This window comes from Homo sapiens, chromosome 8 (genome assembly GCF_000001405.40).
Source record: "Homo sapiens chromosome 8, GRCh38.p14 Primary Assembly".
In the NCBI taxonomy this organism is placed as follows: domain Eukaryota; kingdom Metazoa; phylum Chordata; class Mammalia; order Primates; family Hominidae; genus Homo; species Homo sapiens.
In genome coordinates this window covers 2,522,700-2,550,109 of record NC_000008.11, presented here as the reverse complement: position 1 = coordinate 2,550,109, position 27,410 = coordinate 2,522,700, and the positions used below count along the sequence as shown (strand labels likewise).

Genomic DNA, 27,410 nt, shown 5'->3' with positions numbered 1-27,410 from the left:
CTGCACAAAGGCCCAGATTCTCCATGTGAAGTGAACCTCTCAGTGTCTGTCCCCCAGAAGCCCCCGTGGCAGACAGCTTCGAATGAACCAGTCCCTTCCCAAACCGCCACCTTGAAACACAGGATGAGGTCTGAGATGTCTGTCTTTCTGATTGCAAGGCAGAAAGTAGTTCAGTGGTATACTTTTTGAAGCTTCCCTTGCACTCTGCCTTGGGACTCACTGACCTGTCCATGGTGCATTCCCTGGCTGTCCTTTTAGCTGGAGGCGCCTCCGTTGAGCCATGGAGACAGGATGCCCTCGCACCCACGTGGGCCGGGCTGGCAACCCAGCCTGCACCAGCACCTGCTCTGCCTGCGATGTCTATTTTCAAATAGCACAGGAACCACTTGGACTAGCGGTGTTATTTTTTGAATTTGTTTTAAAATGATACCAATAGTTAAGCTTAAAGTTGTTATTATTTTTTGCAGATTATTATTTCCCAGAAATAAAAAAGATGCAGCATGATTTTCACACATTTTGATGTTCCTTTCTTGCAATGCTTCCCTGGGTCTGCCATTACCTTTGAAAAGACATATTTGTCATGATGTGTTCTTATTACAGAAGTTACAGTCATTTTTGTTTATGAGACCAGGAAAAATCTTCTCTCTGGAAACTCCACGTTTCAGCCTGTGTTTTGATGCTTGAAGAAGGCACATCTTAATCACTGGGGGATGACACTAGTTAAAACGATATGAATTTAGTGGTCATATTTTCCATCTGTGTAGGGGAAAAAGTGTAGAATCTAATTTGCCTATTTTAATGCAAAAGCTCAGTGAAAAATGGGAGTAATTTACAGCTTCTGTCGAATTATTCATGTTATTTTCTGCAGAGTCAAAACTCCTTTCATTCTCTTCAAAGTCATACTTTTTAAAGTTTTGAGGCATTCCACCGTGATAGTAAATTATACTTTTGATACATGCATATAAATTATATAATCTGCATGTGGCAATTTTAATAACGAGAATCTACTCAGGAAACCCTCTCTGATTCCGCTTGAGAATGTATTTTTCTTTAGATTTTTTTCTTAAGTGCATATAATATACACATTCCTAATCTACAACAAATGAATGCGTGCAAGACCAAGAACTGGCATATCTACGGAAGAGCTCTCTGTTAAATTTTTTAATGAAAATTGCTGCTTGAGCTCCAGATGTCCCAAGTTCAGTCTTTGGAAGTTAAGAAAGCTGCTGGGACTTGTGATCAAGTGCAAGGACATGGCTTCCCTTGAGCTGCAGTCTGGTGTATGACATTGTTGGTGTGGTTGCTACCATGGATGCTGCTAACGTGCCCAAGGAAAGCATTTTACTGAATTCTTTGGTTAATAATGAATCTCAAATTCTCACATTACAATATAAAGAAGTAGGAATGGAGGTCAGGCACGGTGGCTCATGCCTGTAATGCTAGCACTTTGGGAGGCCGAGGCGGGTGGATTGCCTGAGCTCAGGAGTTCAAAACCAGCCTCGGCTACATGGTGAAACCCAGTCTCTACTAAAAAATACAAAAAAATTGGCCGGACATGATGGCGGGCGCCTGTAGTCCCAGCTACTCAGGAGGCTGAGGCAGGAGAATTGCTTGAACCAGCTAGGAGAAGGTTGCAGTGAGCCGAGATCGCACCACTGCACTCCAGCCTGGGCGATAGAGGGAGACTTTGCCTCCAAAAAAATAAAAATAAATAAATAAATAAAAAAAGGTATTTCCTCTATCCCTTGACCAGTTTCTAGACATTCAATTTTGAGTTCTAAATGAACTCAAAGAATGCAATTAAAATATACTATAATGCAGTCTAGAGAATTAAAATGTCATAATTATTCACTGTCTTCCATGAAGGTCAAGTTTAACATATCTTATTTTTTTTCTTTTTGTTTATAGAGAGGGGGTTTCGCCATGTTGCCCGGGCTGGTCTTGAAATCCTGAACTCAAGTGATACGCCTGCCTCAGCCTCCCAAAGTGCTGGAATTACAGGCATGAGCCACCACACCAGTCCTAGCTTAAAATATCTTTGAAAAGAATATTTTCAAGTATGTTAGCAAGTGTTTCTGAATGGAATATTTGTGCAAAGTATATCAGCAAAACGAAGTCACAGTCTTAGCCACATTGGACCTCATTGTCAATGAAGAGAAAGTAAAAGTCATCAGTGTCCTCTACCAATTGCAAAAATAACTTAAAATATTTTCAATGTCAAATTAATTGTAATTTATATTAAGCAATTAATTACAATTTTTTGTTGCAATATTTTAGGTCGTCAAACATTTATCTTTGGTTAAATTACATATGTGTGCCCCTATACTTGGTGTTAGGCAATATTCAGTAGATGAAATTAAACAAAACAGGTTCCTAAATAACTCTATTAAAATCACAGAGACTATCACATCAAACCAATCAATTCGCCAAAAGCATTCTTCCAAATAAGGGGGTCATCAAATCTACAGGGGCATACAAAATAGTTGCAAACCGTGATTCGATAAAGATGACAAAAAGATATTTTTCCATTCACAATCTGTAGTCCCTGCATATCAAAAGCAAATGGAAAATGTAATAAAGGTAGACTGTAACACACTTGGTTTATGAGAACTAAGAACTATTAGACATTGTAAATATCCCTTTAAATTTTGCTACATATAAAATAGGATTGTGGCTGGGCACAGTGGCTCACCCCTGTAATCCCAGCCTTTTGGGAGACTGAGGCAGGTGGATTACCTGATGTCAGGTGTTCCAGACCAGCCTGGCTAACATGGTGAAACCCCATCTCTACTAAAAATACCAAAAATTAGCCAGGTGTGGTGGCGGGTGACTGTAATCCCAGCTACTCAAGAGGCTGAGGCAGGAGAATCGCTTGAACCCGGAGAGGGGGGAGGTTGTAGTGAGCCCAGATCTCTCCATTGCACCCCAGCCTATGTAATAAGAGCAAAACTCTGTTTCAAAATAATAATAATAAATAAAATAGGATTATGAAAGATAACTATCTGTTATTGAATATTAATACTTTGATGCCAGTTGATTGACTTCTGACCATTTATTTATTTTTTTGAAAACCATTTTATTCTGTGCTAATAAGAGCCAGGGAATGATCTAGCCATACAAATGATAAGTAAACCAAAAAGCTTCTTAAGTAGTTTGTTATTTGTGTGCATTCGAATTATCACTGAAAATATGAACCTGCATTGATCTTCCTACCAAAAAGGCCATGCAGTGCACTGAGTCACCTCATTGCCAGCATTACCCAAGCCTCCTCCCGGGGAATTTGGATCTCTTCCCTCACATGGAAGACTCTGATTGCAGCATCTCCTCCCGGCATTATTGGTCAGACCCCCACGACAATCTCGCCGTGAATACAGAGGCATCTCGGAGCCACAGCTCAGCTCGCTTTTCCTCTTACCCTATACCCCGGGTCCTCTCTTATATGACGAAAATTTTTCAGCATTTCTATTCTGAATACATATAACCTTTGGAATTGTCTATTCTCCAAAAACGAAGAGTTTTATAACCAAAAGGTGCTGGATATTATCAAAGTCATTTTTTAAAGGGCCACATAGTCAATAATTTAGGTTTTGTTGTCTGCGTATTAACTGTCACATTAAATAAATAGATAGGACTTAACAATGTAAAAAGAATTCTTAGCCTGAGGGCTGTACAGCAACAGCCTACAGATGGGACCTGCCTTCTAGGACATACTACGCCCACCCCTATCTAAATCTATGTTTAAAAATGTACGTGAGGTTCACAAAGGGAGGTGATATGGGTGATATTATGGAAATGGATTTCTAGATCGTGAATCTTCATATATATTTTTTCCTAAAATTATTCTGCCTGAGTCCCACCACAAACTAACCTTTAACCACATTTACCACATTTCTGGAACATTTCATATCACTATTTTGGCTGAGACAGTACTATGTATTCCGCACATTTTTTTTTCTCTATCACCTCCCTTTGGCTGCTAAATCTATCTAATAATTTTCTTATTTTCTAAGTCAGACTCTGCATTTTTCCAGTTCTATTACTGTGTTGAGATTTCCTATTCATTCATTGAAAGCACAGTTTCTTTTACTTCATTAAATACAAATTAGAATAACCTCTTTAAAATCCTTGTCTGCCTTATTTCAACATCTGAATTTAGGTCCATTTTATTTTCTACGGAAAATATATTCTATTGTGTTAGTTCTTTACATGCCAGATAATTTTGGATTGTATCTTAGACATTGTGGTGGTTAAATTGGGAGGATTTACTTTTGTTCTTTTCATCTTATGCCTGTTGATTATTTGGTTTTATGAATGATAATCTTAACTGAACTTGAACTGAAAAACCTTAGGTGGCGGCTCTAGTCTCAATTTAGATATTCCAGCTTTAATTGAACTGCCTTGAGTTTTTTCACCCATGCATTTTTCCATGATCAGTCACTGACAACTTTTGGAGAGTTTGGGAACTCTGTCTGTATCTTTTATGTACAGGATTTCACCACTCTCTCTAGAACTCATGCATTCCCCAATATCCATTTTCAGGTTTTTCTAGGCAGAAAGGCCTCAGTAAGTTTTCTGTTAGTTGTCTTGCCAACTCATACATGTCAACTGCCCTTAGCACAGGGTTAAATGCCCTTAAAGAGGACCTTGGTACCCTCCTCTTCTAAGTGTGCACTCCCCATCGAAGTTTATAATTTTATCATTCTCCTATGCCCTTAGGTAGCTACCTATAATTCCTTAAGATTTTATCACTGTTTTGTGTAAATAAGTCAGTCTTGGAAAATCTTTCTCCATCTTCTCTGATATCCTCATTTTAAAAACAAAGTAATTAAAGCCATAAAAATTCAAAGATACAGGAAATATCTCGCAGTTATCTATCAGCAGAACCAAAACCAGACCCACGTTTTCTATCACAGTCCCCCATCCACCTTTGGTTCCAGTGATAACTACATGTAACAATAGCGCCTTCTTTCCCCGGTTTAAGAATGGCTCTTGCCACTAACTTTGCACAGGGCATGTCCATGCCTTATTGCTACAGCAGTCCTTCCCGTCCAGAGTTTTGCTTTGCATGGTTTCCTTCTGCGTGGTCTGCCAAATATCTATAAATATTAAATGGAAAATTCCTGAAATAAACAATTCACATGCTTTACACTGTGTGCTGTTCTGAGCAGCCCGATGAAATCTCACACCATCCCATCCTGTCCAACCCAGGACATAAATCATCCCTATGCCCAGCAGATCCACACCACGTACCACACACGGCAGCAGATCCACGCCACGTACCACACACGGCAGCAGATCCACGCCACGTACCACACACGCCTGTGAGTCACCGAATGTCTGTCTCGACAATCACACCTCCTGTCCTGGCACTGCAGTATTCCTGTTCAAGTCACCCTTATTTTACTTGATAATGGCCCCATAGCACTAGAGTAATGATGCTGGCAATTCAGATATGCCAAATAGAAGCCATAAGTGCTTCTTTTAAATGAAAAAGTGAAATTTCTTGATTTAATAAGAAAAAAATATATGCTGAGGTTGCTAAAATCTATGGTAAGTGAATTTTCTATCCATGAAATTGTGAAGGAATCGGAAATAAATCCAGGCTGATTTTGCTGTCACACATCAGACTGCAAAAGTCATGGCCGCAGTGAGTGATAAGTTCTTAGTGAAACTCATGGGTGGAAGATAAGAACAGGAAATGTATTCCACCTGACAGTAATGTTTGTGTCAGAAAGCATCGAGCCCATATGAAAATTTCAGCAAGGCCATTGTCTGCAAGGAAAGCATGGTTGTACAAATTCAGAAGTAAGTTTGGACTGAAAAAACCAAACATTACTGGAGAGGTCATGTCTGCTGATGAAGAAGCTGCTGCCACATTTACAGCAGAGATGAAGAAGTTAACTCAAAAGAAAGAATACCATCCAAAGCAAGACTTCAACTGTGCTGCAACTGGGGCTCCTCTGGAAGGAAATGCCCAGTAGGACCTACATTTCTGAAGTGCAAAGGAGCACCAGGGCGTCAAACACGGAAGGACACACTCACCTTGAACCTGGGCAGCAACATTGCGAGACAGGTGATGAAGCTGGATGCAGGCACAGAGCAAAGAACCCACATGCTCTCAAAAATGAAACCAAAAATTTCCTGCCCATGTTCTGGCAACGTAATCAGAAAGCGTGGATGACAGCCGTCTTCTTTATGGAATCTTTGCACCAATGTTTCACCCCAGAACTAACAAAACAAAACAAAACAAAAAAAACTTGGAAAATGAAGGGCTGAGATTTAAAGTCCTATTAATAATAGAGAATGCACCTGGCCATCTGAATGTGTTGCCTATGAAAATAAAAATGCCAAGTTGTATTTTTACTTTCAAATACTGGCTCATTGCTTCAGTCCCTTGATTGAGACATCACGTGATTTGTCAAAGCCACATTCACCCAGCTGGTCTTTGATTACATGTGACCAGCAATTGGTGAAGACCTTAATGCGGAAAGTTATTCACTATTGCTGGTTCAATAACATTCCTCAAAGCTGCAATGGATGAATTAAAACCAGAAACTGTAAATGCCTGCTGGAAGAACTTATGCAATGACACTGTGAATCCTTTTAAAGTCTTCAAAGGATTGGTGGAGAAGTTAGGAAAATCATTCATGCAGGAAACCAAGTTGATGAAGAGGGATTTGCCAACATACTTGAAGAAGTGGAAGAACATGTTGAGGGCCATGGAGAAGCACTAATGAATGAGGAATTGGAAGAACTTGTTGAGTAATCTACAGAGAAACAGGAAGAGGAAGAAGAAATGGAAGCAGAACCAGCCATGTGGACATTGCCAAAATTTGCCAAAGTCCTTCAAATTGCACACATTAAATGGCAAAATTATGACGTACAATCTCAGAATGGAACACAGCATTAATATCACACTTACGATCAGCAAAAGATTACAACCAGCAAAGCAACAGTTTGATGAGCTAAAAAGAGATGATAACTTCTGATCACAATGGTCTTCCAAAAGGTTTCAGGGAACAATCCTTTAACTGTTGAGGAGCCCCAACCATTGACATTGTCTGCTCCTGGCATCTAAAAAATTGACATTATCATGGCTCCATGATTCTGGGTCATGGAAAGCAGATTGTATTAATCAGGGTTCCCTTAGTCAGGGTTCTCTAGAAGGACAGAACTAATAGGATACATATATAAAGGGGAGTTCACTGAGTATTAACTTACACAACCACAAGGTCCCACAGTAGGCTGTCTGCAAGCTTGAGGAGCAAGGAGAGCCAGTCCAACTCTCAAAACTGAAGAACTTGGAGGCTGATGTTCAAGAGCAGGAAACATCTGGCACGAGAGAAAGACATAGGCTGGGAGGTTAGGCCAGCCTCTCCTTTTCACATTTTTATGCCTGCTTTATATTCGCTGGCAGCTGATTAGATGATGCCCACCAGATTAAGAATGGGTCTGCCTTCCCCATCCCACGGACTCAAATGTTAATCTCCTTTGGCAACACCCACACAGACACACCCAGGATCAATACTTTGCATCCTTCAATCCAATCAAGTTGACACTCAGTATTAACCATCACACAGATATATCATCAGAAGGGCAATGCTAGCTTAACTGCTACCTCACAGTGTCTGTGTCATTCACCCCAATCCATCTTATCATGTAGGCATCATATGGTCTCCTATCAGCACCAGAAGGAGTGTGAGTACAGCACAATAAGATATTTTGAGAGACAGCACATTCTGCATACCTTTTATTGCCGCATATTTTTATAATTGTTCCCCTGTATTATTAGTCACTGTTGTTAATCTCCTACTGTGCCTAATTTATAAACTGTATCTTAGGTCCGTATGGATAAGAAAAAACATAGCATATAGAGGGTTTGTTACTACCTGCAGTTTCAGGCACCCACTGGGGGACTTGGAATATATCCTTCATAGATAAATGGGGACTGCTGTAATGTTAGCTTTCTTTTTATACAAGGTGGATACAGAGGAAAAAGAGTGAGCATCTGTTCTTCAATTATAGTGTTGTTCAATGCTTAATGACTTAGCATTTAGCAATATTCATTTATATATTTTACTTATATATATTTAATATTATATATGTGTATATTTGTGTAAGTATATATACATGTACACAACACTCATTTATATAGTTTAAAAATGCTTTTAAGATGCTGTAACACAATCATAAAAGTGGAAGGTCAGACAATGATTTTAGTGTCATGGGTGAGGGTTTTGGTAAAATGTGCACCTGTAGAAATAAGATAAAAGCATTTGTTGTGTTTAACATGGTGTTTGGCACGTCGACACTTATTTCTGACCCAGACACATTTGGTTGGTGACACATTTGTTGTATGGAATTCAATTAGTGCTTCCTTACACCAGGTAGTGATTTAAGAACCTTCTCTGTCGATAAAATTTAGGTAGATAAATTGGAGAAGACAGGACCAATTTTCAACAGTGTGATCATTTATAATGTTCCCCTGGTCAACATTTAAAAACAATTCTAAATATAGATACCAAGAATACTCATTGTAGCATTTTAGTATAGTTTTAATCATAAAGATGCCCAGCAACTGTAAGAACACAGTCCTGATTTTAGTAAGTATAATTTTTAAAGTTTTATGTTTTAATAAAGATTTCTTTCTTAATATTCTTTTGTCAGCATTTTATATGTATATTTCATATGTATATTCATAAGCGTAACCCATTTTGAAGATGCCCTTCTATCATGTTAAATAATCGTTGCTTTCATTTTTGACAATTCCTTTAAAATATATATATATATTTCTAAATATATATACATATATATATATTTCTAAATATATATACATATATATATATATATTTCTAAATATATATACATATATATATATATATTTTTGACATGGAGTTCACTCTGGTTGCCCAGGCTGGAGTGCAATGGCACGATCTCGGCTCCCCACATCCTCCGCCTCTTGGGTTCAAGCACTTCTCCTGCCTCAGCCTTCTGAGTAGCTGGGATTACAGGCATGCGCCACCATGCCCGGATAATTTTGTATTTTTAGTAGAGATGGGGTTTCTCCATGTTGGTCAGGCTGGTCTTGAACTCCCGAAATCAGGTCATCTGCCCACCTTGGCCTCCCAAAGTGCTGGGATTACAGGCGTGAGCCACCGCGCCTATAACTTTAATTTAATTTAATTTAATATTTAATTAAAATATTAATTAAATGCTAGAGAATACTGGTGTTTACTATTGGCATAATGACATTTATTAATAATTTCATTAAAAGTTCCATCTTTCATTTTGCCTGAACATTGCATTAATGGGAATGCTTTATTGGTATTTTAGCATTTCCTTTTATTGGAAACTAACTGGCATGATAAATTTGCCAAGGAAATTTTTAAAAAATCAAGTTGAAATTTTTAACATGTTTGAAAATAAGAGTATTAAAATGTCATGACAGCTCTAGACATTTTGAGAGCATTTACTCTAATATTTCATATCAGTGTAGTGACAGAGAGTCAGGAGCCACCAAGAACCACTGAACATATATATCAGTGTACATACAAACATACAAACGTCTATTTTGTAAATATATTTTATCTGAGAATTTCAAGTCAGTTTCAGAGTCAGTAGACTCGGCAACGACTGAGCCCTATCAAAGTCATGAGCATGACGCCTCTGAAGAGGGCTTAAGCCCATCTGATGCGGGTAATGGGGCATTTCTGAGTTGGCGAGTGGATTCAGCTAAAATATCTGGTATTCGTAGGCATTCTGTAAATGTCACTTCTGTTCTCCTTTTCCGCCTCCCTTCTCCGCACACACTTACATCTGCCCACGTGCCTTCTGGTAGCAGCCTGAGCTCTACCAGGTACATGCATATTAACATTGGACCTATGTCATTAGAAAGAGTCCTCTGGAGAAGCAGCCCCCATCCCAAGATAAGAAATCAGGAAGGACTTAAGAGGTGTAGAGAAGTTCAAAGCCTGTGATGTTCTGCTGTGGCTGTGACAGCAACAAATGAAAGATCCATCAAACTGGACTAATTAAATAGATTAATTAAAACTCAAAATAGATTAATTAAAACTGCCGTGCTGAAGGCCTAGCAAACGAACAGATGAATCTATTACAGGTATAAAAACAACTCGCCCCCATTTCTATTGGACTAGACCAGATGCTCAGATTTTAAAAAAAGAAGAAAATTATGGTTATGCAGCATACCAAAAGGAAAGTGTAATGGCAGACTGGTAGACAGAAATCACCAAAATCAGACTCAAATATGACAGACAGTGCAACTCTGAAAAAGAATTTAACACAATCAAATAGGATGTCAAAGACTTTAACAAACAAGGTAGACAATATGCAAGATTAGATGTGTAAGAGTGGCAGTGATGGAAACTACCAAAATGACTAAATGGGATTCCAGAAATTAAAAAACAAACAAATGCACACTGTAACAGAGACAGAGAATGCTTTTGAGAGCCTCATCAGTAAACATAACTGTGGGGAAATAAGTTATCAGTGCTCCAATAAAAAGACTCAGCTCCCTGAGAACACTTTACTTTTTACTTTTTACATACCATGAAGATCTGTAGACATTTCCTTCGTTAATTGCCTGAATCTAACAGGATAATAAATCAACTTCTCTCTCCCCAAGAAGCAAATAGTTGCAACTTAAGATAAACTCCTAAGTTAAGCTCCCAAAGAGGCAGGGAGACTAGCACACTCCTTCTCCCTAGTCTTTTACACTCAAAATGGACAAAGCTTTGGCCCCTAAAGCCATTTCCGAGTCATAAAGCCAGAGACAGATGGGCTTAGCTAGACCCTGGAGAGACTTGTATACCAACAGGCTGGATAAATGTTCCTCCTATTACACCTTGAAGAAAATACTCTCAAAAGAGGTTAGGGGAATAGACTCTTTGAGGTTTACAAGTGGAGAAAACCTATTTTTATCTGTCCCTTTCAGTCTGTAGACTGAAACCCACTGCTCATGTAAAAATTTCTCTGTCTGGTTCTCACTGCGTGTCTCTGTGGGTTTGCTGGGCCTTGCGAAGTAATGATACAGTGCTACTTAATAATACAATAATACAGTGCTATTGATAATACACTGCTACTAATAATACTTAATAATACAATGCTATTAATAATACTTAGTAATACAATGCCATTAACCTGGTTGTTTCAATAAAGAACTCTTTTCTCTGACCCTTGCATTTTTGCAATATCTATCTATCTTATTGTCTATGTGCTTGTCAATCATCTCTCTGTAATCTATCTGCCTATTATTCCAGTGGGAAAACATCTCAGATTTTTCACAGTTTTAGACAGTGTGATAAACACGCAGATGAAGAAAGAGCTAGTGAACTTTTTCAACAACTATGAAAGGTCTAATATAGTACATTATCTGGTAGCTTGTAAGTTGCCTGTCACATCATGAATATTTTCAGAAAACATTCAGTTCTGGGATCAAAGGCAGTTTCTCACTTGTGGTGCAGCACACAGCACACCCCTGTGTCCACGGCAGCTCCCCTGCAAGTCCCGCTGGCGTGAGGCATATGGCAACCCAGTGGGATGCTGCACACACAGGGCTGAGCATCACAGTCAAGTCCCTGGTGCAGGAGGACCAGGAATGTTACAGTGGGTTGCAGGGCCTTTGTTGAACTTTCCCTAGAAGGAAAACACTGTCTTTATGCAACGCAGCAAACAAACCTACTCTTGGCTCTGAAGTGACACTGTCTCTGTCTCCCAGGACTGTTCCTTCTAGAAATATCCTTGGGAAGACATTTCAGAGCAAAAGTCACCGGCATAACGGCCACTAAGACGAGCGAAAACGTGAGAGGCTGAGGGGGATGTCTCTCAACAAACTTAAAGACAACTTTAGAAAAATTACCCAAACTGGATCACAAACAGTAAAAAGAAAATGAAGAAAAAAGCAAGAGAAAGGAAGGGCATCTGAGGGCAGTGAGACAGTCTTGGTCTAGGATACGGGTAACTGGAATCCCAACACGAGAAGGGAAGACAGTGAGGCGCAACGAATTCCTGGATAATTGATGGCCACAAAGGTGTAGATCAAAGGAGCTTTGAAAACATCAAAATGGGGAAACATAGATCAATAAATCAAATAAGAATCCAAGAAACTCCACCTAGGTATATTTTATTCAAATTGCTGGAACAAAAAGCAAAGAGAAAATCCTGAAGGTGTGTGGAGGATGACCAACAAATAAAAAATACATATAAGACAAAGATAAGAATTGTAATAGACTTCTCAGAAACCTTTCAAGCCAGAAGACCACGGAAGACTCCTTTTAAGTTCAAACTGTGACCTAAGGAATTTAACTCCATGAAAATAATCCTCAAAAAGTGAAAGGGAAAAAAAGAGGGAGAATTCATGGCCTACCAGACCTACACTATAAGTAGTGTTGAAGAAAACGTTTCAGACAGAAGAGAGAGGCTGACAGAAACTTCGACCTGCACGAAGAAATGATGAGAAGTAGGCCGGGCGCAGTGGCTCATGCCTGTAATCCCAGCACTTTGGGAGGCCGAGACAGGTGGATCACGAGGTCAGGAGATCGAGACCATCCTGGCTGACACAGTGAAACCCCGTCTCTACTGAAAATACAAAAAATTAGCCAGGTGTGGTGGCAGGCGCCTGTAGTCCCAGCTACTCGGGAGGCTGAGGCAGGAGAATGGCATGAACCCGGGAGGCAGAGCTTGCAGTGAGCTGAGATTGCGCCACTGCATGCCAGCTTGGGCGACAGAGCAAGACTCTGTCTCAAAAAAAAAAAAAAAAAAGAAATGATGAGAGGTAGAAACAGAATTACAGATGGCAAAATAAAATCTAGGTTTTTTTTTTTTCATTTTACAAAGCCAGATTTGCCTTGAGACCAAAGCCCAACAAGGATACTATAAGAAAAGAAAGGTATAGATCAACATCTCTGATGAACATAGATATAAAAAGTCTCAACAGCCCTAAAGACTTTACTGAAAAACTGTTGGAACTAATTTGTAAATTCAGTAAAGTTGCAGGATATAAAGTCTATACACAAAATTCAGGAGAGTTTTTATACACTAATAACAAATTAGATTCCTCCCCAAAATTAAGAAGGTAATCTAATTTACAATAACTGCAAAAACATGGTAATAAATTTAACTAAGAAGGTGAAAAATCTCTACATTGAAAACTATAAAATTGATGAAAGAAATTGAGGAGGGCACAAATAAATGGAAAGACATCTCATGTTCATAGATTGGAAGAATAGATAGTATTAAAATGTCTATACTACCCATAGAAATCTATGTGTTTTATGCAATGTCTATTAAAATTCAGTGACATTTTTCACAGAAATAGAAAAAGCAATCTTAAAATGTATATGGCATCAAAGAAGACACTAAATAGTCAAAGCAATCTTAAGAAAAACAAAAAACTGGGGACATCACATTTCCTGATTTCAAACTATACTACAAAGCTATAGTAATCAAAGCAGCATGGCACTGGCATGAAAGCAGACACACTGACCAATGGAACAGACTAGAGAGCCCAGAAATGAACTTATTTATTTATGGTAAAATTATTTCAGACAGAGATGCCAAGATGACATTATAGGGAATGGACACTCTCTTCAATCTGTCTTTCAAATACTGGGAGCAGAGCACAACCAGAGACTATAATAGGGCCGGGGGTGCTGAGAATCCCCAAATCAAGTCTTGTCAGATACAAGAATCAAGGTGTAGAAATAGGTCCCCATGTACACTGGTCTATGCAACCTGTGAGAATCCTGCAGGAGTTCTGATCTATTCTTCAGAGATTTTAAGTAAGTGCCTTTAGCTTTGGGGGGCTTAAAATATAGATCGAAAGGGGAAGTCATTCAATAAAACCAGTTCCAAATTTTTTTTAATCCTATCTCTGGAAGTACAAATGATATAACACCTATATTTGGAGTTTCTCTGAGTGAAGAAAGGCCCTAACACTCTCCTCTCTCTCCAGGACACAGCTGAAGGGTCACTGTGGTAGGCTGTAACATTCCTCACATGTACCATGAAGCACACCTCATTGTGGACCTAACATGTTTATTTTCCTAGCTTTAGTTACAGTTGCTACATTTATGTATCCATCAACTATCTATCCATCAACTATCTAGCTGTCATCTATCTATTATCTATCTATTAATCTGTTATAACTTGCCAGTGTTTTTTATTTTATATTCTACTCTTGAATGAATCCAAGAAATTATAGCTCTGTTTCAGCCCCAGTCAAATACACAACTGAAGCTCCCTGAATGTGTGAGGTCCAGACCACATGTGTGACTATACATAAACATCTTACACCGAACACTTTGCCAAGGTTTAGCACATTATTTGTCATCAGATTTTCTTTAATATGAAACCACTAGCAAAACCCTCTCTTATTTGGGCTTGTTTAACCTATGTCCAATTGTCAGTTCTTGAACAAGCTAGAATTATTTCCCCCCTGAAGGTGAGAAGAACATTCCTGTTGGGAATCCAGAGACACTCAACTCTTACCTTCATTCTGAGGCCCTGGTCTTACATGAAGACCACTAGGGTTGGTGCACAAAATTAAATCACAGCGGTAGTCTGTCTTTTTCTGCTTTTATTCTTGGCTTTATGTGTTTAGAGGTGCATAATATAATATCTAGGCCTATCGCACACATTACACTCCAACACAAGACAAAAAGCCACAGCTAATATTTGTCAATTATGCAAACATTCTATACGTTTTGAAAATTTTATGATATTGTACAAATTTCTTCAAAATTGTGCTATGCTTGTCACTGAAGTCAACTTTCTCCTTAATTAAACTGTCTTGCTACTTGTTTCTGCTCTTAGAATTATACTTCTTCTGAATTAGATAGCAGGAAAATATTAAAGAAAAAAATGAAAAAAAAAATAACAGTATAGAACGTACTTACCTCAATTTTTCTGTGACCTCTGCCTTGAATCCTGTCCCTTTCCACTAAAATACATCATAAGTAATAGTCTCCCAGTTTCCCACAGCAGGAGCTCGATTCCAGACAACATTTACATAACATTGCATCCCTCACTGGCCATGACAAGAGCAGGGATTTTTTTCTCATCCCTCCTAGATGACAATAATGCTGCATACTCTACAGCAAGCCCACTCTGACCTTTCTGGTCCTGCTTGAATAATATCAGGTTGGTGCAAAAGTAATTTCTGTTTTCTCTGTTGCTTTTAATGATGACAACAGCAATTACTTTTGCGCCAATCTAATGTATATCTTGTGGTTGAGATTTCCAATCACAGCAATTGCTCTGCTCCATTCGCAATAAGTCCACTCAGACACCTGCACTTACTGCTCACTAGAGAGAATGATTCTTGCTCAAGGATTTCCATTAATGTCATTCTCAGTTGGAGGTTGACAAGATCTCCAAAACTTTTTTCCCCCAACTCTAGCATTTTATCAATCTGTTTTACAATTCATCTGAAGAGTTCGATCTTTAAATGGCCTGTGATTTGTATTTCTGGTTAGGGATAGAGGCCATTATTTTTTTCTGGACCTCTGCATTACCTGATGTGTCTGACCTTAACCATGAGGATGTATCTGGAAGCTCTACCCGAGCAGTGAAGCTACTCACATACCATAAAGATAATGCAAAGTTTCTATCAATATGGAAATACTTTTTTTCTCTTCAGTCAGACTGATTGGTTTAAGAGAGGCACACTGGGAGACATGACAGAGAGATGGGACCTTAAATCACCCAAATGGGTCAACTATTTTAATAGCTGTATTTCCCACCTTCCATTTTTAATTTCATTCATTAATTCATCGAATACCTTCTGAATATAGACATGTCCATTAACTGTATTAGATACAGGAGAAGGAGATGAAAACAGAGTCCCTGTTCTCAAGGAACCCTGTTATGTCAGTCAACTCTACATCTCTTTATAAAACCCGAGAATGTCTATAAAAGGCTCGTAAGTTACAGATACTTTCCTGGGCCTTGTTTCACACTTTCTAGTCTTTTGAGAATTATATTCTAAATCGAGCTTGTCCTACATGTGACCCAGGACAGCTTTGAATGCAGCCCACCACAAATTCATACACTTTCTTGAAACATTATGAGATTTTTTGTGATTTCTGTTTGTTTGTTTTTTAGTTCATCAACTATTGTTAGTGTTAGTGTGTTTTATGTTGTGTGGCCCAAGACAATTCATCTTCTTCCACTGTGGCCCAGGATAGTGAAAAGACAAGACACCCTTGTTCTAAATGCTTAACAAATATCAATCATATCTAATATTTCTTAATGTTATTTTCAAACATTCTGTTTTTGATGTTTATGGTGTGGAGGAAGTTCTACAAACGTTGCCAGCAGATAGAGCCAACAGTAGTTACTGGGACTTTTTACATGGGTGAAATTCAGTCAGAGAAGAGAAAATAAGTGAAATGATACCACAATTATGTCTTCTCAATAACATATGAGAAAATGGGAATTGTCACCAATGGCTTTGCAATCAATCACCTGAAGAAATGTGAGTGCGTGGCCTTCAGCTCCACTCAGTCATGACCACACTAGTTCTGAGCAGTGAGTTCAGAGGGTAGTAGTGTTTGAATGCTAAGAAACAGCCATAGAGGAGCAGTGTCTTTTAGCCAGTGCTATGTTTCAATAGACATTCGTTAGTAGTCCTATTAATTTGATGTTGTTTACAATATTCACAAACATATTTTTTTCCCTGAAAAGCAATTGACAGGCTTCACCAACTCCCATAGGGGTCTGTGGCATACAAATCTTACTTGCCTTGGTTAAATTACCTTATATTCCTGTGCTTATCTTAAAATAATTATAGTAATGTCTATCTCATTAAATTTGTTATGAGGATTATATGAATCAATACACACATGGTGCGCAAAGCAGCTTGTGACTCACACTGTGAATTTAATGTGCTCACTAATTGCTGTGACTTCTTGCATTAGACTCTCCTGGGCACGAATCTGAACTCCATTATAAACCATTGCATGATGTTAGGTCATCATGGACTCTTGTGGATGTTAGTGCCCTAACCCACAGGAACCCAGAACTGTCAGGAATCCTGACGGAGGCAGACTGAAGCTCCGAGAAGAAGAAACATGAATGCACTTTTTAAGTGCTAAATAATTGTATGTTTCATGCTGTAATTTTCATTGTTTGTACTGAATAATAAAATGCAGAAATAATCTCAAAGTCACTTCAATGATTTTAAATTTCTACTAAATCTAAGGGATGCAAGACGGAAACTAGCTAGGAGTCACCTGAAAAGGAAGAAAAAAAAAATTTGAGATTAACTTTACCCATTTACTACTCCTAAATACATAATATATAAAATTGAGCTATGATAACTGCTTCTGTTCAGTAACTGACTTAAAAATTAGCCAGGCGCGGTGGCTGACGCCTGTAATCCCAGCACTTTGGGAGGCCAAGGCGGGCAGATCATGAGGTCAGGGGATCGAGACCATCCTGGCTAACACTGTGAAACCCTGTCTGTACTAAAAATACAAAAAAAGTTAGCCGGGCTTGGTGGCGGGCATCTGTAGTCCCAGCTACTCGGGAGGCTGAGGCAGGAGAATGGCATGAACCCGGGAGGCGGAGCTTGCGGTGAGCCGAGATTGTGCCACTGTACTCCAGCCTGGGCAACAGAGCGAGACTCCGTCTCAAAAAAAAAAAAAATTATAAGTTTTTGCTTCTCATTCTCAGTGTCTCATGCAAAAAATAGGACAGGTCATCACAGATAAATGAGTTGAAATTATATATTTAAACTTAGTTACAATTAAAAATGTTAAGAAGTAATATGTTCAGTTTCCAACTTGAAATGAAAGCACATCTTCCCTGTTGTTAACTCTACCTACGATTGAGTAGGAAAACAAGCACAGAAAAATGCCCCAAATCCATTCCTTTAGAGCTGGGTACTGCTATTCCTCAACTCATTGCATGATGTTTGAATTTTATATTAAGATTTAGGTGTAAGTTTATTTTAAGTAGCATTTCACTATTTTTTTCACACTACATACATAAATTTAAGAATTCTTTATGATTTCTAGGCTTAACATAGCCTATTTTTTTTCCAATGTCTATTTCTGGAATACATAAATTGAGATCATTTTTGATGTCATGATCTGGAATACATAATTGAGATCATTTACATTTTATATGATGGGTTGAATGGCAATTTTTCTAAGAAACATCTTTAATTTTACAGTGATTTTTAAATCCTTATTCCAAAACAATATGAGGTCAGGCCAGCTATACTTGGTTCCTCTGAGGAGAGCTGAGGGGGATAAAAATATACACAGTTCACAGGTCTCATACCGTATAAGCATAATTTTTAAGATCTTTAGTGGGGTCCAGAAATATATATTTTTAAGATATTTCCAGGGAAATTCTTATAAACATGCAAGGTTCCTGGCAGTTCCTTCCCATCCATTAGAAGGGAACACTGCACTCAAGATTCCAGTATCCACAGGCATACTAAGTAGGAAAGGGTTAAACCAATGACGTGACTTACCCCAATGCATTAAGTTTCTTTCTTCCCAGATGCCAAACACACACACACACACACACACACACACACACACACACTCTGAAAGTGAGATGTGTGTTGCTTCTGGTGCCTCTATATTGTTAACCTGTATTTATTAAAAAGAATATTTTAAAATCAAGCCAGATGACACACCTGTTTATATGATAGGGTTGTGATATAACATAGTAAGGACGGGATTAGAATTTCTAACCTTTCATGAGAAATGCTCAAAAGCATTATTTTTGACCTTTAAAATAGAGAAGGTTGTATACCCCACAATATACAGTAGTATTAGAACGTTTATTTTCACCCATATGTCCTAAGGTAATGCATATTTTTTTCAATGAGCATGTTTTGTTAACATTGTTGGTTCTCACAGACACCTGTTTGCTTAGTGGATGAGGAAGATATACCCTGTTGGATACAACAGAGCGTATAATGGTAACCTGTGGTAATGAGGCACCTCCCTCCAGGACACTTACCTGTGAATTCATCCTCACTTTGGTCATAGACAAACCGCGGCTTCTGTCAGTGTTGGCAGGTGAACACTTGCACACACCAACGCACACACACACGACACTCTCCCATACCTCTGGCACTTTAGCTTTAAACTTCACGATCATGTTGAAGTTATGGTCTCAGGCATAATAATCTGACATTGAGGTGATTTTGCTTAAAAAAATTGTTTTGGGTCCTATGCTTCCATCAGAGGAGAGAGCATTAATCACACTCTTCAGCAAATAGGACGAGTGCATTTATTTGGCTCCAGCGTGGACGAGAGAGTGGGAAGAGAGCAGCTAAAGGTGATAAAACATCATTATATGTGATTATGGTGAAAACAACTAGAGCCAGATATTTAAATTATCCTTTCTAATACTTGGAACAATTCCAGAAAATTGATGTATTTTTCTCTGCCTCTGAGGAGCTTAGAACTGAGAGGGGGAGATAGTGCTACTTCAAATAGCAATAAATGCAAATGAGAGAAACGAAACCCTGTAAGCAATGCCTACGGCAGCTGCCCAGGGCCCTCGTGAGACCCTCAGGGTTCCTCAGAGGTCAGAGGTGGGAACCACACCTCAAGCCATGCAACTCCGTGTTGCTTATTTGCTTTGTTCCTTGGCAGACTAAACAGGGAGTGGGAGTAAAAGCAACACCCGCTCCTGAAGAACCAACTATCAGAGTCTTCATCTTTCCCAAGGAAAAGCATGTGAGTAGACACTTAAGATGTTTTAATTGCTGTAATTCAGGTACATATTTTTAAAAGTCCAATATTAATAGTATCCTGGACTTTTAGGAACCTCCTCTGCCTGCCACTGCTGTTTTCCATTTCACGGCAGCAAGTGGCTTTGAAAATGTTAGCTGCTTTTTCCGTATTTACTGTCACCTTTCTAAGTAGACTGTTTACCCGGGTCTATCTTTACTTTTCAAGTTCAGACATGTCACTGGTTTTCTGCTGCCCCTTTTGGCTCCATTCCACGTGCGTCCATACAAACCGGCTGCTGCACCTGGAGGCTGAGCAGCCCACAGCTTCATTGAGTCAGAGCCCCGTCTACACCATCACGACGGCAGTGTGGCGTCTGCACAGAGGTGAATTGCTCCGAGTGTATAATGACACTGATTTCATTGTACACTGTTTTTTCTTCTTTCCTCAAGCTCATTGTCTCACGTTCATGTTTAATGAGTGTCCTATATGATTGTCACTCATTTTGACAAAAATCTCAGAAAAAAAAGAAACAACAATATAAACCCCTCCTGACTTGATTGTACACACACATCTGAAAATTAATCTGCTTCGTTTTTTTTTCGCTTTGCAGATACGTTTCTCTTGGCTTTCTGCTGTACTCCGGGCTGGCTGTTATCAGCCCTGCTACTGTGATGGTCAACATTGAGTGTCAACTTGATTGGACTGAAGGATGAAGTACTGTTCCTTGGTGTGTCTGTGAGGAGCATGTTGATTTGGCAAAGAACAGTTTGGTAAATTCTAAGAAACGGGTCATTCCAGGTCCTCTAAGATAACCTGGGTACTTCTCTTGACCATTATCCAAGGCTTCTTATCCAAGGCTTCTCCTGGCCTTTGTCTAAATGGAAAACAGGTGTTTTCAAGGCCCACACAGGGCTTCCAGGGCACAGCAGGACACTGGGTAAGCGGGAGATGGAAACGTCACCCTTATGGTCATAGGCGAGTTTGTGGGACCCTAACACTTTGAAGCCATGTGATCACATCACCGTCATATTTTAAATCAGACCTGCCTATTTCCACCTCTCAGTTTGCCTGTCTGAACATTTCTGTTGTCTTTTTTTCTAAATGTCTTTCTTAACACATTGGTTTAATACAAACAATTACATCTCCTGGGCACCCATGATGCATAAGACAATGTGAGATATATATATATATATTAAATGCATACTTTATTACTTATGTTTTATTATACATATTAAATTGTATGTACAGCAGGCCTTCAATAACCAGAAGACTGTATATATTTATTTTCATTTGTTATGTAGTCTACTATATATTATACATTTATACGAAATATTTATATAATGAAATATTTTATAGTAATTGTATGTATATAACCTCTTGATTATAAGGCTTTGAAGAGGGAGCACCATTTTGCCTGTTTCTCATGTGTGAGCAGACGGACTCAGAAAGCACTGGTTCCAATCCAGATTTGCTGTTAAGCACAGCGCCCTCCACAACCATCCATGAAGTGGAGCAGAAGAACTTCCGCCTTTCAGAGCAAGCCTCCTGGGATTCATTGATTTTGTAATTCCTTGCCTCTATTTGTGTTATAATACATTGAAACCAAAGCTAGCATTTCAAAAATCAGGACCAAGTATTTTAGTTACTCGGGACCAAGAACATAAAGTTCCTGTGAATGAAATTAACATAAGGACAGAGCCGTTCGACCAAGAAAAAGAAAAGGTTAGTCATATTTTAAAATTTGTATCTCTTTCAAAACACATTGTTTTTGTTTTTTGTTTTGTTTTGTTTTGTTTTTGGCAAAGAAACTATAGGTGCCTGTGCTTAACTATTTAAGTGGTAAAAATAGAGTTTGGTGGTTTGCGGTGGTACCACTGGCGGCAGGTGGGATGCCTGATTTGAAAGGTGTGTGTTCGCCGCCCATGCCCCTGCCTGGGCTGTGCGGAGGGTGCCCTGCAGACAGCCGCACCCTGAGAGGGACCTTGACAGGTACACAGTATGGGTTTGTCTTCTTTGAAAGGCCATGGAGAGCCCTGGTTGGGGGATGCAGTAACCCTGGGACTCCATAATAAAGAGCTGTGCTGAGATGAAGACAGATCCGGGTTCAAATCCTGCCTCCACACATCACGGGAATAATTGAATAATTACATTTGTGCTTTAAACCTGCGCTTCCCTGTCAGCGTTTGGGCGTAGGAGATTCCAAGTAAATAACTCCTGGGCTGGTGGATACGATGGTTACATCGTGCCTGTCACACGGCTGGCACCGGGTCAGCCCTGAAGAGTGCTTACGGGTGTGTGTGCAATTGCACGCTTGGGGTGGGTCTGACCATGACAAGCGTGTTGGAGACAGGAGTGAAATCTCGAGAGTGAGCACAATCTGTCATAGCACAGAAGCTGATCGTTCACAACATTTGAAAGTATAGTTAAGCATTTATCCTGTTCAATTGTACAAGCATGAACAGGAACAAGAACACAGAGCACCTGCTACGCAGGGGTTTCCATCTTATTCTGTGCCGTAGAACCCGCATGTTAGAATCTCCCATCGTAAGAATCGTCTTCCTGCTACAAGTAATACTAGGCAGGTCATTTAGGCTCCTGTGCCCCAGTTTCCTATGAGAAACAGGCACAGTTACATTGCAGCCCCACAGGCTAGGGGGCTCAAGGATTCAGAGCTTGCAAAGTATCTGAGAAACTTCAGCTCATTCACGTTAGACATTAGGATGCCTGGTGTTGCTGCAGATGGTGTGGCCCTGTCGGCCACCTGAAAATCATGGATACCGAGCATTGGGGAGGATACGGTCCTCAAAGATATGGGGCAGTGTGGAAGCAAATAAGATTCTTGTAATGACAGGCCCCTTAACTCCCTGTCCACACACACATTCCCTGAACTGCCTGTCTTTCCCGCTCACATGTCATGATACCCTTCTGAGTGGGACATGTGCACCTGGGGCCAGAAGGGTTGCTGGAGGCAGTTCTTTGGTTTTCATAACAAAAGAACCATCCATCCGCGCTACACACTGAACAACTGGGCAGGCTGCACACACCTCTGGTTAAGCTCCCCAAGTAGACAGGCGCTCCTGGGCTGCAGAAACTCATTTATAACTTAGCAGGGATTTCTTCTATGAACAGCAGGTGAGGATTTTGTTTCTAACACATTTCACGATGCTTAAGAAGTATTTGCAAGTGCAGGCATGGCCTTAAGGAATTTAGTCCCCAGCAGAGATCCCTGGAGAATGACAGCTGAGATAAGGCTGTCCGAGAAAAGAAAGAGGAAGGATTTCCTTCCCCTGCCCTACAGTGGAGCTCTTCTGCAAACGTGACCCTTCAAGGAAGACAGAGAGAGTGTGAATTAGCAGTGAATTCTGCGCCTGAAGAGCGAGACAGACCCTTAAGAACAGAGTATGCACCCAAGGCGGGAGACACCCTCGAGGTGAAATATGAAGACGCAGCTCCCTGGGTGACCCTGGCATGCATCCCCGAGGTCATGTGATAAAAATGCTAAAATTCCCACTATATTCAGGGAGGCACTATTTAGCCTATTATTCACATTTTTACATTTAATATCTTATTTTGGTATTTATCCTGACAGCTATAAAATTAGATGTTTTCATTGCTTTTCATGCTACCCTTAGTCTGTGCCGCTGGCAAAATTTCTAATACTGTAGTAAGCTGAGGAAGAGGAAGACTAGCTTAAGCGGATTTAGCCCGAGCTTGCTCTTGGAGAACTTGCTAATTTAAAGAATTAGCAGGAGAATGTGAGTTTTTCACATCTAGGTCACCCTTAGGAGCAAGGTCCGTCTTTCTAATAAGGAACTGTGGATTAGTCATACACAGCCTGTGGGAAGGAAGGGGCGTTCTCAGCCCATTGCATAACAGAAAGACAGTCCAAGTCTTGGAAATCAGCAATTAGCAGTTCACATCGCGGACTCAGCTGGCCTGCCAAGAAGCCAGCATGCCCAATAGTGAAATAGCCTCATTTTCAGACGGCCTCCCGAGGGACCCCGTGGATATCACACTGTAAAAATGGCCCCTCTTTATAAGGCACTTTTCTGCCAACAACATAATGTAAGTACCAGCAGGTAATTCTTTATTAAATGACCTGTGCATCTCTGGGAAGCACGTACCACAAAGGAGATGGTTTCTATGAGATGCAATTTATGTTTTCCGAATCCTCATGGTAAAACGTCTCAATGAGCATTAGGAGTCCCGGCAGAGCTGCCCGTGATACAATAACACAATCGTTCCCTTCATCCTTCTGAGATCCCTGTGGGTGGCCTGACACAGCTGTTTCCTTCAGGGCAACAGGGTTGCTTTTTCAGCCAAGTGACTGGCTAATTTAAAATACAAAAGAAGATCTAAGCTGAGTAGAAACCCAGCAAGACCATGGAAAATTAATGCTGAGACCCCTTAATAAACAGGGAAAAACGTCGAAGTACCGTTATTTCTCTAAGTAGGTTAAGAAGGTTTTGAGCATCTATTTTGTGCTGATTTGAACAGTGGGGCTATAAAAATGACAAAAATACAGAGATTGTCACCATGCCACAAAATAGAACAAGAGTGTGAGCAGATAGATAACCAATTATAACATAATATGGTAAGTCCTGTTACATAAATATGCCCATAGAGAGAGGCTTGGGAACATGAAATGGTCAGGCATTGGGAAAGGCATTTTGTAAGTGAATTTTGAGTCATATTTAAAGGGTGGATATGTTTAAAGGGAGACAGGTAAAGGCGTTTAAAGCAATGTAGGCAATATGACAAAAAATACTTTTATAACTATTTCTGTTAATAAGGAAAATGAAAATATGCACAGGATTTCACAGAATGTTTGTAGTATAGATCTCCTAAATGATGCTTTGGTGTAACTTTACAGAAAAGTAGGTAAGGAGACGTTATTTTATATGTTTTCTCAGGATGTAGTGTTAATCTCTGGATTAAATAATGATTTGCACAAAGTTTTCTAGCTGAAAGTAGAATTTAGTTGACTACAAAGATTTCTACTAAGTTTCAGTTGCATGGCAAATTTAACATACTTTAATACATTCATTTCTCAGAGGTTCTTAAAGGAGATATTTATATTAAATTTGCTGAAATCCTTAATCAAGTAGGAAGGCCACATGTAGTCACACAGGAAGCCATTGGCAGAAAGTATAATTGCTTATTTTTATGGATATGAATATGTGGTTATGAATATATCAGTAGAAAAGGTAGCCTGGGAATTCATAATTAAATGTAAGAAAATTCTACCCAGAGGCTAACATTGGAATTATTAAAATACCTTTCAAATTTTCCTTTTAATTCAAAAGTCCTTCTGAGAAAACTGGTTTAAATATTTAATGGTCTTAACAAACTTAACCTCAGCCAAAACGTATTAAACTTAAAAAAAAAATGCATTTCCACCTGTCCCCAAGAGACTCACTCTGTGCTTCAGATCATATGAAGAATGTGTAAGGCCTGTCTGCGGTCAAGTGTGGTTGGTTATAAATCTGGCTGGGAAGAGTTTGGGTGAGTCCATGTTTGAAGAATACTTGATATTTAGTGAGCGCATGGTGTTGCATTTTACAAGTTTGCTACTTAAATCCAATCTGTTCAATGGGCCAAGGATAACAAAGAGAAGTAGGAACAGGGTAAGTCATAGTATGAGCCCTGCTGGGTGCAACCTTGGCCAGGCAGAATCATCCTGTGGACACGTGCCCCTGTGTCCTAAGATTTTCAATTAAATGGTCTCTGTTAGGCCCCAGGTATCAGGACTTTTGCAGGCTTTCTACAGCATTCTAACGTGCGGCCTGGATTGAGACTACTTCCCAGAATAAGACAGCGCCTGGCCCCACCTCTCCAGAAGTTTGGAACCATGTAATGAAGAGACTACATCTTAGAATTTCATAATTTAACTCTAGGCTGGAGGTCTCTCTTCATGTTCTTCCCCACAACTTTCTAACAATATTAACGTATGTATGTATCACTTCATGGTTTACAAAATGCATTCACAGGCTTTATCTCACACAACGCTCTGACTAATTGATACTATATCAATTACACATAGAAGACAACCGAGATGAACTTAACCAGACAATCTATCATTCATGATTCGAGCTTATTCAGTACATGCGGTCAGTGGTTGGAAATGTTAAGTTGTCTGCCTGAGATAATGACTCTACAAAAAAAAATGGAAGCCAGGTCATCTCATCTCAAGTATGTTCTTGTTTCTCTTCTCACCTAAACAACTTTTGGAAAACCACAATGCACTTCTGACTTGGAGGAGAATGGAACGATCAAGTAGCCTAGCTCCACCCGGGAACGGGGAGCAGAGGAACTGGGTTGGACACATGGGAATTAAAGTCCCTCAATATTCTGTTTTACAGGAAGCACTGTGGCTCTTGTCCATAGAATAGATAAGTCAGCAGTGCTCACACACACTCTGAGGATTCCACTGTAACATCGCAGATCACTTTGCATTGCACCTATTTATTTTTACGTCTGGTTCACTTTACTGTGAGGTCTTTAGTCTCTGTCGTTCACACAACCACTCAGCAAACATTTATCTGTGCCAAACATTAGACTAGACACTAAGGATGCACAGAATTATAAAAGAATTCAGGAATGAAATATACGATTATGATAGAATGTGGTGAATATAACAGTATACGCATGCAAAAGTGGTAAGGGTTGTGATCCTTGGAAAACACAGTTTTGATGTTATTAGCATCAATTTATTAATATTTGCCAAGCATGTGCTACTTTTACTTCTGGGGAAAAGTCGTCTCTACCTCTTCTTAGCTAAATAAACTGGACGAGGGCTCCATTTCTGTAAGTGTCACTCTCTCACGGATATGGAACCCACGATACTGTTTCCTACTGTGCTGTGTGAGGACTGTAAGGGAAGGCCCATAGAAAACAAGAAAGTACTTGACACAAGTTTTTAACACTGTTAATTCATGAAGAAGAGGGAATATTTTCATCATTTTTCTAACAACTAGATGATCTGTATCTAAACATGAAAGAAGCTTACTTTATTCACCACTGCAAAAAAAATAAAACAAAGCAAGGTCGAAGAAGTATTCTCAAGGTGGTGTATGTGCGTAGTGCCCTTGGCTACTGAACATGGCTGATCTGGTTTCTGCCTCACACACCATGGTCCTGAACATAATGAGAGTCAGCTCCTAGTGGCATCGTGTTTGGATTAGACTCCATTAATGTTCCTTAAGTAGCATGACTTTCAATGACTGCTTCATAACGTAAGCAACTGAATTTATAATTGAGACATTGTGTAATTTACCTACAAACATGAAATAAACCTAACATCTTTTTGAAGAGATGCTGATATGAAACCACTGATTCAATTGCTGTTGGCCAAGCTTGATTTGGGAATTCTTCTAGGTGAAAGAAACACAAACCAGTTAAATATTTTCAGTCTCCAGCCCCAATCTAACAAAGTGCCTTTATTGTGAGACTAGATGACCTCTGAAATGTCAGGGCCCACAGCCCACCAGCAAGAACCTGAACAGGCACAGAGATAGAGGAAGCCACCCAGATTGTCTACAACACACCCCAAAGCTTCCCACTCTCTATTTCCTTACCCAGCTTTATTTTACGTTATGGAATCTTCCACCAAGCTGAAAGCATGTTCCATGTCTGTAACGGTGTGTGATGTTTATTTATTCTGCCTCTCACGTAGGTGCCATGACAGGGAAC

The 27,410-nt window shown here is 39.5% G+C and overlaps 1 long non-coding RNA gene across 1 annotated transcript in view, besides 2 other annotated features; it reads left to right on the top strand.

Moving 5' to 3' along the window:
* The window catches only part of LINC03021 (long intergenic non-protein coding RNA 3021), a 198,360-nt gene extending 178,342 nt beyond the window's left edge, over positions 1-20,018 (top strand). Inside the window, exon 6 of the long non-coding RNA NR_125425.1 lies at positions 19,944-20,018. This is a non-coding gene — a long non-coding RNA (long intergenic non-protein coding RNA 3021). The remainder of the gene's footprint in view (positions 1-19,943) is intronic.
* Positions 22,787-23,513: an enhancer, noted in NCBI's record as "NANOG-H3K27ac hESC enhancer chr8:2383723-2384449 (GRCh37/hg19 assembly coordinates)". NCBI's record gives its function as "activates a minimal SCP1, AML or CMV promoter by ChIP-STARR-seq in primed H9 embryonic stem cells {active_cell/tissue: H9 hESC(primed)}" and the evidence as "EXISTENCE:reporter gene assay evidence [ECO:0000049][PMID:30033119]".
* Positions 23,514-24,242: an enhancer, noted in NCBI's record as "NANOG-H3K27ac hESC enhancer chr8:2382994-2383722 (GRCh37/hg19 assembly coordinates)". NCBI's record gives its function as "activates a minimal SCP1, AML or CMV promoter by ChIP-STARR-seq in primed H9 embryonic stem cells {active_cell/tissue: H9 hESC(primed)}" and the evidence as "EXISTENCE:reporter gene assay evidence [ECO:0000049][PMID:30033119]".